The 12,232-nt window shown below is 45.8% G+C and overlaps 1 protein-coding gene across 3 annotated transcripts in view, besides 1 other annotated feature; it reads left to right on the forward strand.

Annotated features, from left to right (window-relative positions):
• The window catches only part of GPATCH1 (G-patch domain containing 1), a 49,362-nt gene that overhangs the window by 3,965 nt on the left and 33,165 nt on the right, over positions 1 to 12,232 (forward strand). For all 3 annotated transcript variants that reach the window (NR_135270.2, NM_018025.3, XM_006723255.5), the window contains exons 2-7: positions 2,989 to 3,123; positions 5,635 to 5,720; positions 8,214 to 8,374; positions 9,027 to 9,124; positions 10,617 to 10,675; positions 11,062 to 11,301. Coding sequence is in view for 2 of the 3 variants with exons in the window: in NM_018025.3 (NP_060495.2) it covers positions 2,989 to 3,123; positions 5,635 to 5,720; positions 8,214 to 8,374; positions 9,027 to 9,124; positions 10,617 to 10,675; positions 11,062 to 11,301 (779 nt within the window). In the remaining variant the exon portion in view is untranslated. The remainder of the gene's footprint in view (positions 1 to 2,988; positions 3,124 to 5,634; positions 5,721 to 8,213; positions 8,375 to 9,026; positions 9,125 to 10,616; positions 10,676 to 11,061; positions 11,302 to 12,232) is intronic.
• Positions 5,014 to 5,183: an enhancer, noted in NCBI's record as "experimental_51032 CRE fragment used in MPRA reporter constructs". NCBI's record gives its function as "activates a minimal promoter by MPRAs in K562 erythroleukemia cells, with activity observed for both the introgressed and non-introgressed 19:33581150 variant alleles {active_cell/tissue: K562}" and the evidence as "EXISTENCE:reporter gene assay evidence [ECO:0000049][PMID:34662402]".

A 12,232-nucleotide genomic window follows, 5' to 3' on the forward strand; every position in this document is an offset into this window, starting at 1 on the left:
CAGAGTTTTGTTCAGTTTTCTATACCCCAGCTCTAGAAGGGCTGCTTGCATGGCAAGGCCCTCATCAACTTTTTGTTTTTGTTTTTGAGACAGTCTTGCTTTATCCCCCAGGCGGGAGTACAGTGGCATGATTATGGCTCACTGCAGCCTTGGCCTCCTGGGCTCAAGCGATCCTCCCAGCTCAGCACCCCCCAGCCCCCAGTAACCAGGACTATAGGCGCATACCACCATGCCCGGCTAATTTTAAACATTGCGTCACTATGTTGCCCAGGTTTGTCTCAAACCACTGCTTCTAATGACTCGAACCACTCCTACCTGGGCCTCTCAAAGTGCTGGGATTACAGGTGTGAGCCACTGCACCTGACTCCCCCACCCTTTAAAAAAAATGTAACCATTAGCCAACCAGGGGCTCGTTGAAATTTTGGTCAGGGAATGAGAGGAAGGAACAGTATAGGAGGCATCTCTGGCTTGGAGACAGAGCTGAGATCTGGTTTCACCTTTGTGCTTATTAGCAGTGAGTCTCAGGGAAGTTACTTAATCAGTATCCTTATCAGGGTATGATAAATGAGATGATATGTACTAAAGGAAGGAATTAGTTGTCATTAGTAGCAGTAATTAGGACATGGCCTGGCTAAAATGCCACCCACCTCCTTTCTGGAGTTGTTCCGTCACTGGTTAGAGGTGGTGCCTTCTGCTCAGGAGACCTGTGGGAGCTAGTTGGCCACATTGCTTGGCCCTCATCATCTGCCGCCACAGGTTGCACTCAGTTGTCTGCAGATCTTATCTCCCCTTTGAGATCAGAAGCACCAAGAATAGCACCAAGCACTGGCAGCACCTGTTCCCTCTTACCGTAGCCCAGTGGGACAGTTGGCAATGCCTGGAGACCTTTTTGGTTGTCATGCCTGTGGGGCATAAGCTGCTGCTATAGGCCCAGGATGCTGCTGAACATCCTGCAATGTACAGAACATTCCCCTGCAACAAAGAATTCTCCAGCACAAAATATGCTGAGATTGAGAAGCTCTGCCATAGCCAAGAATGATGCCAAGTGCATATATGTAATGTAGTGTGTGTACTGCATTTCCATGAAATGGTGAACATCTTGGGTTGTGGGACCCAAGTTGTAATTTAGTCCTTTAGAGGGAAAAGACATTGTAGCTGATATTAACTGATTTCCCCCATGGCCAGGGACTGTGCTCAGCTGTTTACGTATGATATTTAATCCTCGTTACCACCCTACAAAGATGGGCTTCTTTATTACCTTGATTTTACAGTTGTGGAGGCTGAGGCTTAGAGTGATGAAGTAACTTGTTCAAGATGACAAATTTTTTTTCTTTTTTTGAGACAGAATCTCACTCTGTCACCCAGGCTAGAGTGCAATGGCATGATCTTGGCTCACTGCAACCTCCTCCTCCTAGGTTCAAGCGATTCATCTGCCTCAGCCTCCCGAGTAGTTCTGCCTGCCACCATGCCTGGCTAATTTTTTGTATCTTAGCAGAGACGGGGTTTCACCCTGTTGGCCAGGCTGTTCTCAAACTCCTGACCTCAGGTGATCCACCCGCCTCAGCCTCTCAAAGTGCTGGGATTACAGGCATGAGTCATTGCGCCAGGCTGATGACAAATCTTAACAAGTAGTAGAAGGGGATTTGAATTCAGATCTCTAGGTCTTTAAACCTGGGCTCTTGGCTGGACGCGGTCGCTCACACCTGTAATCCCAGCTACTTGGGAGGCTGAGGCAGGAGAACCACTTGAGCCCAGGAAGCAGAAGTTGCAGTGAGCCAAGATCATGCCACTGCACTCCAGCATGGGTGACAGAGACTGCATCTCAAAAAAAAAAAATAAATAAAGTATTTCTTGTGTCTCCCTCTTCTTGTTAAGTACTTCATAGGCATTTAATTTGCATAACAACTCCATGAAATAGCTGTTACCATTAATGCCATTTCTATTTTACAGATAAGTAAATTGAGGCACAGAGAGTCAAGGCTGACCAAAGTCCAGCACTAGTAAAGGGAGTTGGCTTGAAACTCCACTGTGACTCTCACCCTTAACTCATACCCTTAACCACTGTATAACCTACTTCCTCTTGTGAACTTTTGAAAATAACTTGATTTTTTTTATTTTTTAAAAAAATTTAAATAAATTCAGGATTTTGAATTGTAGTTGATAAAACGAGGCAGTAATTTGTGCCATAGTACCTGGGAGTTTAAACCTAAGGAATTGTTAGGCTAGGCCTAAAATGTATTAGATTAAATTCCCTTGCTTGTGTGATGTCTCAACCCAGCCCTTTCAACAAAGTAGGAAAAGGAATAGGTTTAAAGAACACTGTGGAATCAGGAGATTCACAGAAATTAAGGAAACTCTTAGGAGTCGGGGAAAATAGGCAATACCAAAGGAAAAATGCCGGATTCAGGGATGGTGTGACGTTCTAGAAGAGGTATGGAAGTGTATCTCTCCTTGCCAAGTGCCACCCCAGCTTCTGCGCCCTTCATTTGAAGCCAGGAGATTTCAGTTTCATCTGTCGGAACTCTCCTGACATTATAATTTTTTTTTTTTTTTTTGGGGGAGAAGTCTCGCTGTGTCTCCCATGCTGGAGTGCAGTGGTGTGATCTCGGCTCACTGCAACCTCCACCTCTCGGGTTCAAGCGATTCTCCTGCCTCAGCCTCCTAAGTAGCTGGGATTACAGACGTCTGCCACCACGCCCGGTTAATTTTTGTATTTGTTAGTAGAGCCGGGATTTTGCCATGTTGACCAGGTTTTGTAATGGAATTTAGTGGGAAAAGAGGGCAATCATTATTACATAAGCTTATAAAATATATTGTTTTCTAGGCTATATAAAGCAGTAAAGTCTAGGAATAACAATTTAAATGATTATATTTGAATTATAAGAAGTAAACAATTTATGATATTTAAAAAGTGACATTTTCCCTAAATTTGAACCGACCATCTCCTCTCTTTTTCATTTAAAAAACTTTTTTTTTTTTTTTTTTTAGGTGAAAGACCAAAGAAACCAATCCCTCTTCAGGATCAGACTGTCAGAGATGAAAAAGGAAGGTATAAACGATTCCACGGGGCCTTTAGTGGAGGTTTCTCTGCTGGATACTTCAATACTGTTGGCTCAAAAGAAGGTATCATTTTCCTAATTGTAGCTATTATACCATTAAAGCAAATGATCAAAATATTGATTCTCCCTCACCCTTGCTTTTTTTTTTTTTAATTTTGAGACAAGAGTCTCGCTCTGTCGCCCAGGCTGGAGTGCTGTTGTGTGATCTTGGCTTACTGCAACCTCCGCCTCCTGGATTAAGCGATTCTCCTGCCTCAGCCTTCCAATTAGCTGGGATAACAGGCGCATGCCACTATGCCTGGCTAATTTAAAAAAAAATACTTTTAGTAGAGACAGGAGTTTCACCATGTTGGCCAGGCTGGTCTCAAAGTCTTGACCTTGAGTGATCTGCCCACCTTGGCCTCCAAAAGTGCTGGGATTGCAGGTGTGAGCCACTGCACCCGGCCACCTTTGCTTTTTTTTTTTTTTTTGCGATGGAGTCTTGCACTGTTGCCCAGGCTGGAGGGCAGTGGTGTGATCTTGGCTCACTGCAACCTCCGCCTCCCGGGTTCAAGCGATTCTCCTGCCTCAGCCTCCCAAGTAGGTGGAATTACAGGCGCCTGCCACCATGCCCAGCTAATTTTTTTTGTGTTTATAGAGACAGGGTTTCACTATGTTGGCCAGTGTGGTCTCTAACTCCTGGCCTCAAGTGATCCGCCTGTCTTGGCCTCCCAAAGTGCTGGGATTACAGGTGTGAGCCACTGCGCTCAGCTTTCTCTGAACATACACTGTAACCTCTTGTGTTCTTTGGATATTTGGATGTTTCCAGAGTCAACTTGTATCTTGTTCATTGATTGCAACCTTATGGTTAAAGAGTTTTCTTTCACTTTGTAAAAAAATGCATACCTCCTAATCAGATGATTAAATGATAATAATGACTTTGGTTTTTATTGTGTCTTGCCATTCACGAAATACTCTTAAACAGAGTCTTTCAGTTAATCATTGACTGTCTCTCGTGACTGAGTGAGTGAGGAGGGCAGGTGTCACAGGGATCTTGCAGATGATGCCACCAAGGGTCAGAGAGGTTAAGGAGCCAGCATGGCGTTAGTGCTGAGGGAAGAGTCACCAGGTGCCCTCTTCAGACACTGGGGACCACAGCAAGACTGGCTCCTCAGTGCTCTCTACCTGGGGAAAAGTCAGTTAAATCTTTTATGTTATGTACTTTTATAAATGCCAAGTTGTTTAAAGTATTGTATGTTTTAAGATATATTAATCTAGAAGCATTTTTTTGAACTGGAAGAAATGGCTTTCTATATCTCAGTTATGAATGGAAGATGAACTGATTTTATTATATGTGCTGCCATAGTGAGCACGGAAGATGAACTGATTAATTCACATAGCAATTATCAAGAAAAAGATGGGCTAGATCTTTTATAATTTTTTTTTTTTTTTCCTGAGATGTAGTCTCACTCTGTCGCCCAGGCTGGAGTGCAATGGCATGACCTCGGCTCACTTCAACCTCCGCCTCCTGGGTTCAAGCAATTCTCCTGCCTCAGCCTCCCGAGTAGCTAGGACTACAGGTGCCCGCCACCACACCCGGCTGATTTTTGTATTTTAGTAGAGATGGGGTTTCACCATGTTGTTCAGGCTGGTCTCGAACTCCTGACCTCAAGTGTTCCACCCGCCTCAGCTTCCCCAAGTGCTGGGATTACAGGCGTGAGCCACCATGCCCGGCCTTACCATTTTATTTAATTAATTGATTTATTTTTTGAGACAGGGTCTCACTCTGTCGCCCAGGCTTTAGTGCAGTGGTGCACCTACTGAGAGTAGACCTTCCCCAGATGCCTCAGCTCACAGGGCCCTTGGAGAGAATCAGGAAGGAGGTGCAACCCTCTTAGAGAAAACTAAACAACTTTATGTGCAGAGGTTACAGACATATGTGACCTCCAGAGCATTCCCTGTTTGTGGACGTGGCACATGCTCGGTAACCGTGGTCAGGGAACAAGGCCATTGGTTACAGGATTCCAGTGTCTGTTGAAACTGGGGGACTGGCAGAGCCGCTGCCCTTGGACCTGCCAGGTTGAGTCTTTGGTCAGGGTACTGTGAATGTTGCCTGGATTCCTTCTGTTACTCTCTCTTTATCCACTCTGACTGATTAAAACACCTTGACATCATATCTTTACACTTGATCTTAGCCAAAAGGCCTAGAAGCGATGACATCATTTCTTTAGATATGTTAATATGCCAGTGGAGGTTGCTGGTCTCACGTCCTGCATTTTAAGGTGACCTTGCATCTGTCAGCTCAGATCTGCTTGTGTTCATTTCACAGTTTAACTTTCAATGTGTAATTCTATATCTCTTGGTTTCACTTTCTTATGGGGAAACCTTAATGTATCCACTAAGTTTTACATCAGGGGATACAGGGATTAATAAGAAATTTATGTGGAATAATTACGTCTATATAAGCACTGAGATGGGAAGTAGCTAAGAGTTTATAGTTATTGGGAATTTCAAGTCCATACATGTTATTTAATCATTTACTCATAGACCCAAATACTCTCTAGGATTGTAAAGTTCTAAACTCTTTTTTTTTCAGGATGGACACCCTCTACCTTTGTGTCTTCACGACAGAACAGAGCAGACAAATCTGTTCTTGGTCCTGAAGATTTTATGGATGAAGAGGTGCGTGTGCAAAACTTTAATTGCCAATTAGCTGGTGGGACAGGTCTAGTTGGTTGCTGTAACTGCCTTCTCTCTCCCCAGAAGGTCCAATGTACGATTTCCTCTTTGTTTGTAAGGCTTTATCTTTTAGGTATTTGATGTGCAGTGTCCTGTACATCAGTAGAGTCTTGTTCATTGGAGGAGCATTTTATACTGGGGCCAATTTCTAAAATCAAGAGTGTAAGGGGAAAGTCATATACAGGCAATTTACTTGAAAAGCCTCGTGGCTGGGTGCGGTGGCTCACGCCTGTAATCCCAGCACTTTGGGAGGCCGAGACAGGCGGATCACGAGGTCAGGAGATCAAGACCATCCTGGCTAACACGGTGAAACCCCGTCTCTACTAAACAAAATACAAAAAATTAGCCGGGTGTGGTGGCGGGTGCCTGTAGTCCCAGCTACTCGGGAGGCTGAGGCAGGAGAATGGCGTGAACCCAGGAGGCAGAGCTTGCAGTGAGCTGAGATTGCGCCACTGCACTCCAGCCTGGGCGACAGAGCAAGACTCCGTCTCAAAAAAAAAAAAAAAAAAAAAAAAAGTAAAGCCTCTATTGCCTCAAAAGCTCAGTATCCATGGTGCTGGGTCTGCAGCTTTCCACAGTAACTCTCAGGCACACTGCAGTAAAGAACTGTGAGTGACTGAACTAAAATTAAACTTCTGCTACCTTAAAACCTGGTCGCGGATTCACCCATGATAAAGATTAAATAGGGAGGGAGAGCATCAGGAAGAATAGCTAATGCATGCTGGGCTTAATACCTAGGTGATGGGTTGATCTGTGCAGCAAACCTCCATGACACACATTTACCTGTGTAACAAACCTGCACATCCTGCACATGTACCCTGGAACTTAAAAGTTGAAGGAAAAAAAAGATTAAATAAAACATTTATATCAGCATGTGCGAGGCTGCAGGTAAGAGGGAAGGAAGTCTCATTCTTTTTTTGAGTAGCATCATCTAGAAGGAAACATATCTCATGTAGCAAGAAGTCTAGATGTGCTGAGACCCCAGGCTCTCTCTTCTCAGTCTTCTGTTGGCAGCTTGTCCTTATACTACCTCTCCTCATGATTGCAAAATGGCTGTAGTAGTTCCAGGTGGCACATCCAGGATGACGTTGTTCAAGAGAACTTTCCTCTTGGTCCCTTTTCTTTTCTTTTTTTTTTTTCCTGAGACGGAGTTTTGCTCTGTTGCCCAGGCTGGAGTGCAGTGGCGCTATCTCGGCTCACTGCAACCTCTGCTTGCCAGGTTCAAGTGATTCTCCTGCCTCAGCTTCCCCCGAGTAGCTGGGATTACAGGCGTGTGCACCACCATGCCTGGCTAATTTTTGTATTTTTAGTAGAGACGGGGTTTCACCATATTGGCCAGGCTGGTCTCGGACTCCTGACCTCAGGTGATCCACCCACCTCGGCCTCCCAAAGTGCTGGGATTACAGGTGTGAGCCACCGCACCCGGCAGTCTCTTTTCTTAAAAGCAAAGTAGCCTTTCATATGAGTCCTACCATGAATTTTCTCTACATTTGCTTGCACAAATTGTTTTACATGCCCATTCCTAACGCAGTCCCTGGCAAGGAAAGTGGGATCAAAATGACTGGCTTAGATAAGACACAAAGCCCCACTTCATAATCCTGCCTCCCCAACACTGGGAGTACCACTCCTGCAATGTGTGGCGGTGCAGAGGAAGGCAGGTGCCTAGACAACGTCAGGACTCTGCAAGGAAAGAGGAAACGTGCCAATGGTTGGACAGGCAGCCAGCAACATCTGCTCCAGTAAAGGCAAAGGCACCTGACTCTAGGCCTGGCACTCACACTTGTGAATGCTTGCTGGCTGGAACTCCAGGCTTTGTCTCTTTCACGCTGACCTTTGAGATACTGTCGAGAAGAACACGGCCATTACTTCCTGTCTTCCCAGCTTGGTCATGCTCGGGGTGGCCCTAATGAGCAGCGACTATCATGCCCTGCCCTTGGCCACTGGCTTTACCTTGTGTGAGGATGAGGTTCTAAAGTCAGTGTGAGGCGGGGCACGGTGGCTCATGCCTGTAATCCCAGCACTTTGGGAGGCTGAGGCGGGTGGATCACCTGAGGTCAGGAGTTCGAGACCAGCCTGACCAACATAGTGAAACCCCATCTATACTAAAAACAAACAGCTAGCCAGGCATGGTGGTGTGTGCCTGTAATCCCAGCTACTTGGGAGGCTGAGGCAGGAGAATCACTTGAACCCGGGAGGCGGAGGTTGCAGTGAGCCCAGATTGCACCACTGCACTCCGGCCTGGGCAACAAGAGAGAAACTCTGTCTCAAAAAAATAAATAAATAAAAAATAAAGTCAGTGTGTATGTCTGTCACTCTGCTGATCCAGAACTAAATTTTGTAGTTTTAACTTTTTTTTTTTAACAGAAATAAAACTATGTGATGTATTGTGTATAGTCACTTTCCAAATAATGTAATTCTGTTTGAATTTTTTTGAAGGATCTTAGTGAATTTGGGATAGCACCTAAAGCGATTGTCACCACAGACGATTTTGCCTCCAAAACCAAAGACAGAATACGAGAAAAGGCTAGGCAGTTGGCCGCTGCTACTGCCCCTATTCCTGGAGCCACCCTCCTTGATGACCTCATAACGCCAGCAAAGTGAGCATTTCCTTCTGACTGTCATGATCTTAGCACCGGTGTTTTGCATATGTGTGATTCTCTTGCTGAGGGATAGTTTGATTGCAAGTGAGACAAGCCTTCTTAGGCTCAAAGTCTAAGTGAAAAAGGGGGTTTTGCGTAAAGGATCTTGCACTGTCATTGCACGGAGAGATTAAGAACTCCAGCCACTAGCTGTGCTGCTGGGGCTCTCAGAGGCTGGAGAGCTGTTAGGAATTACAGTGACTTCTCCCACCACCCCTCCAGACCTTATAGCCTCGCCTCTGTCTGCCTCCTTCTACCCTCACTTTCTGTGTATCTCCTTGTGCTCCTGGGCTTGTGGCCTGATATGGCAGCCTTAGACCTTCAGGGATTCCCAGGCCACATGCTTAGCAAAGACTGTCTAGAGTCCCTGTGATCCCATCGTAAAGGCCCAGGAGAAAGGTCATCTGATTGACTTCCCCAGTTCAGGTGTGCACCCCAGTGCAGCCTGCTGTGGCTGGAATGGCAGGGTCACGCCAGATGTAATGTGGGTGAGGGCAAGGGCCCAGGCAAGACAGGCCTAGGAACTGAGCAGGAACTCAGAAGCCGCTTATTTCATATTCTTTGTTAATGTTATTTTGAAAAGTTCATTTTCAATGCCTTGCTATCCTAGATTATCTGTTGGTTTCGAATTGCTAAGAAAAATGGGTTGGAAAGAAGGACAAGGAGTTGGTCCTCGAGTAAAGAGACGGCCACGCCGACAGAAACCTGGTGTGTATGTTAATTGATTAACTGTTATCACTGCTGCAGCGTACTTTTTTTTTTTTTTTGAGACAGGGTCTTGCTCTGTCGCCCAGGCTGGAGTGCAGTGGTGCGATCCCGGCATACTGCAGCCTTGACCTCCCGGGCTCAAGTGATCCTTCCACGTTAGCCCCGCAAGTAGCTGGGACCACAGGCATGTGCCACTGCGCCAGGCTAATTTTTTGTATTTTTTGTAGAGACGGGGTTTTGCCATGTTGCCCAGGCCCAGGCTGAGGATTGCCTGAGCAAATTCCAATAAACGAAATAGCTGGGCCCAGTGGTATGTGTGTCTTCTAAGGCTTTTTATGTGTAATGCATGACAGCTTCCAGAAAGGCTGTGCTAGTTTATGCTTCTGCCAGCAGCATGTGAGAGTTCATGTTTCCTACCCTCCCCCAAGCTGTCACAGTTTAACATTATTACTTGTTCCTTATTTCTTGCCCTGAGTCTCCCCAGCCAGACTGTAAGTGACTCTTTGAGGGTAACAGTCATTTCTTTTGGGTTCCTTATGCTGTGGGGCAGTATTGGTTACTCATTGAGCACATTACTGCTAGGTAGGGCAGGTGCTGGTAGAAAATGATTCCTGGCTGGGTGCAGTGACTCATACCCATAATCCTGGCACTTTGGGATGCTGAGGTGAGATTATCTTTGAGCCCAGGTGTTTGAGACCAGCCTGGGCAACACGGTGAAACCCTGCCTCTACCAAATATACCAAAATTAGCCAGGTGTGGTGGAGCGCACCTGTAGTCCCAGCTACGACTCAGGAGAGTGAGGTGGGAGGATGGCTTTAGTCCAGAAGGTTGAGGCTACAGTGAGCTATGATCATGCCACTGTACTTCAGCCTGGGTGACAGGGCGAGACCCTGTTTCTAAAACAATTCCCAGTTATCTTCCTCTCACCGTAATGCTGTAGCACATTTTATAAATGTACCCATGTACCTCTGAAGAGTTATCAGTGAGGTTTTTTTTTTTTTTTTTTTTTTTGAGATGGAGTTTCGCTCTTGTTGCCCAGGCTGAAGTACAATGCGCGATCTCGGCTCACTGCAACCTCTGCTTCCCGGTTCAAGCGATTCTCCTGCCTCAGCCTCCTGAGTAGCTGGGATTACAGGCTTGCGCCACCATGCCTGGCTATTTTTTTTGTATTTTTTGTAGAGACGGGGTTTCTCCATGTTGGTCAGGCTGGTCTCCAACTCCCGACCTTGTGATCCACCCCGCCTCAGCCTCCCAAAGTACTGGGATTACAGGCATGAGCCGCTGCGCCCAGCCTTTTTTTTTTTAAATTTTTTGTGGAGGCGGAATCTCACTATGTTACCCAGGCTGGTCTTGAACTCCTGGGCTCAAGCGATCCTCTCACCTCAGCCTCCCAGAGTGCTGGGATTACAGGTGTGATCCACCGCGCCCGGCCTGGTCGGGGTTTTCTATTTGTAGTCACTCATGACTATTGCATTTGAAATCTCTTTTCTAGATCCTGGAGTCAAAATCTATGGCTGTGCATTACCCCCTGGAAGCTCGGAAGGATCTGAGGTATTGCATGGTGTGACTGACCTTCACTTTGGTACAACAGCACCTGTTTCTGTATGACTGTGAAATTTGGTTGGAGACAATTTTAGAAATCAGATCCAATAACTATACAGTTAAATACTCATACCCTAAAGCTATCCTCATTATATCAGCATACATATTCAGCAACATGCCAGCACCACAGATACCCAGGTCTGTTCAGCTTCATAAAATGGAGTTGGTGTTAGCATCCTTTGTGCCAGAAAGTGATTTAGTCATTTATAACAGCACCAATGAAAGTTTGCTAATTGTTCTGTGTGGCATTAATCACTGCGTTTTCAATTAGTATTTTGTGGGTTTACTTTGCATCCTTCAGTGACTCACCTTAATTCCACTTTAAACGGAAATAGGGTGAAGATGATGACTACTTGCCTGATAATGTGACCTTTGCACCCAAAGATGTCACACCTGTGGATTTCACACCTAAAGATAATGTGCATGGTCTAGCTTACAAGGGCCTGGATCCCCACCAGGCACTGTTTGGAACTTCGGGAGAACATTTTAATCTTTTCAGTGGTGGTTCTGAGAGAGCTGGCGATCTTGGAGAAATTGGACTGAATAAAGGAAGAAAATTGGGAATTTCAGGCCAGGTAAAATTATTTTCTATTTTATAAAGGGGGAGTCATTGATAAATGAGTCTACTTTCTTTCTTTCTTCTTTTTAGAGGTTCTTTATTTTCTTTTTTTTTCCCCCTAATCCTCAAGTGGAATCAGGTCAAAGATTCTTTCTTAAAATGCATTTTTAAAATGGTGACTTTGCCATTTCATTATTACCATTTCTGTTTTTTTTTGAGACGGGGTTTCGCTCTGTTACCCAGGCTGGAGTGCAGTGGTGCGATCTTGGCTTACTGCAACCTCTGTCTCCTGGGTTCAAGTGATTCTCCTGCCTCAGCCTCCTGAATAGCTGGGATTATAGGCATGTGCCACCATGCCCCACTAATTTTTGTATTTTTAGTAGAGACGGGGTTTCACCATGTTGGCCAGGCTGGTCTCGAACTCCTGACTTCAGATGATCCACCTGCCTCGGCCTCCCAAAGTGCTAGGATTACAGGCATGAGCCACTGCGCCTGGCCACCTTTTCTTTCTTTCTTTCTTTCTTTTTTTTTTGAGACAGAGTTTGACTCTTGTTGCCCAGGCTGGAGTGCAATGGCGCGATCTCGGCTCACCGCAACCTCCACCTCCCGGGTTGAAGCGATTCTCCTGCCTCAGCCACCTGACTAGCTGAGATTACAGGCATGCGCCACCACCCCGGCTAATTTTGTATTTTTAGTAGAGATGGGGTTTCTCCATGTTGGTCAGGCTGGTCTTGAACTCCTGACCTCAGGTGATCCACCCGCCTCGGCCTCCCAAAGTGCTGGGATTACAGGCGTGAGCCACTGCGCCCGGCCCACCTTTTCTTTTTATAAACGTGTTTTTTTTTCAGTCTTTTAAACAAAAATGCTACTTGTTAGAGGCTCCTTTCCGCAGAGAGTAGGAGTTCTTCCAGCGGGCAGTAGAGTAGCAGCGGCCCTTAGACCCCAGC

The sequence above is a fragment of the Homo sapiens genome, chromosome 19 (genome assembly GCF_000001405.40).
Source record: "Homo sapiens chromosome 19, GRCh38.p14 Primary Assembly".
Taxonomy (NCBI): domain Eukaryota; kingdom Metazoa; phylum Chordata; class Mammalia; order Primates; family Hominidae; genus Homo; species Homo sapiens.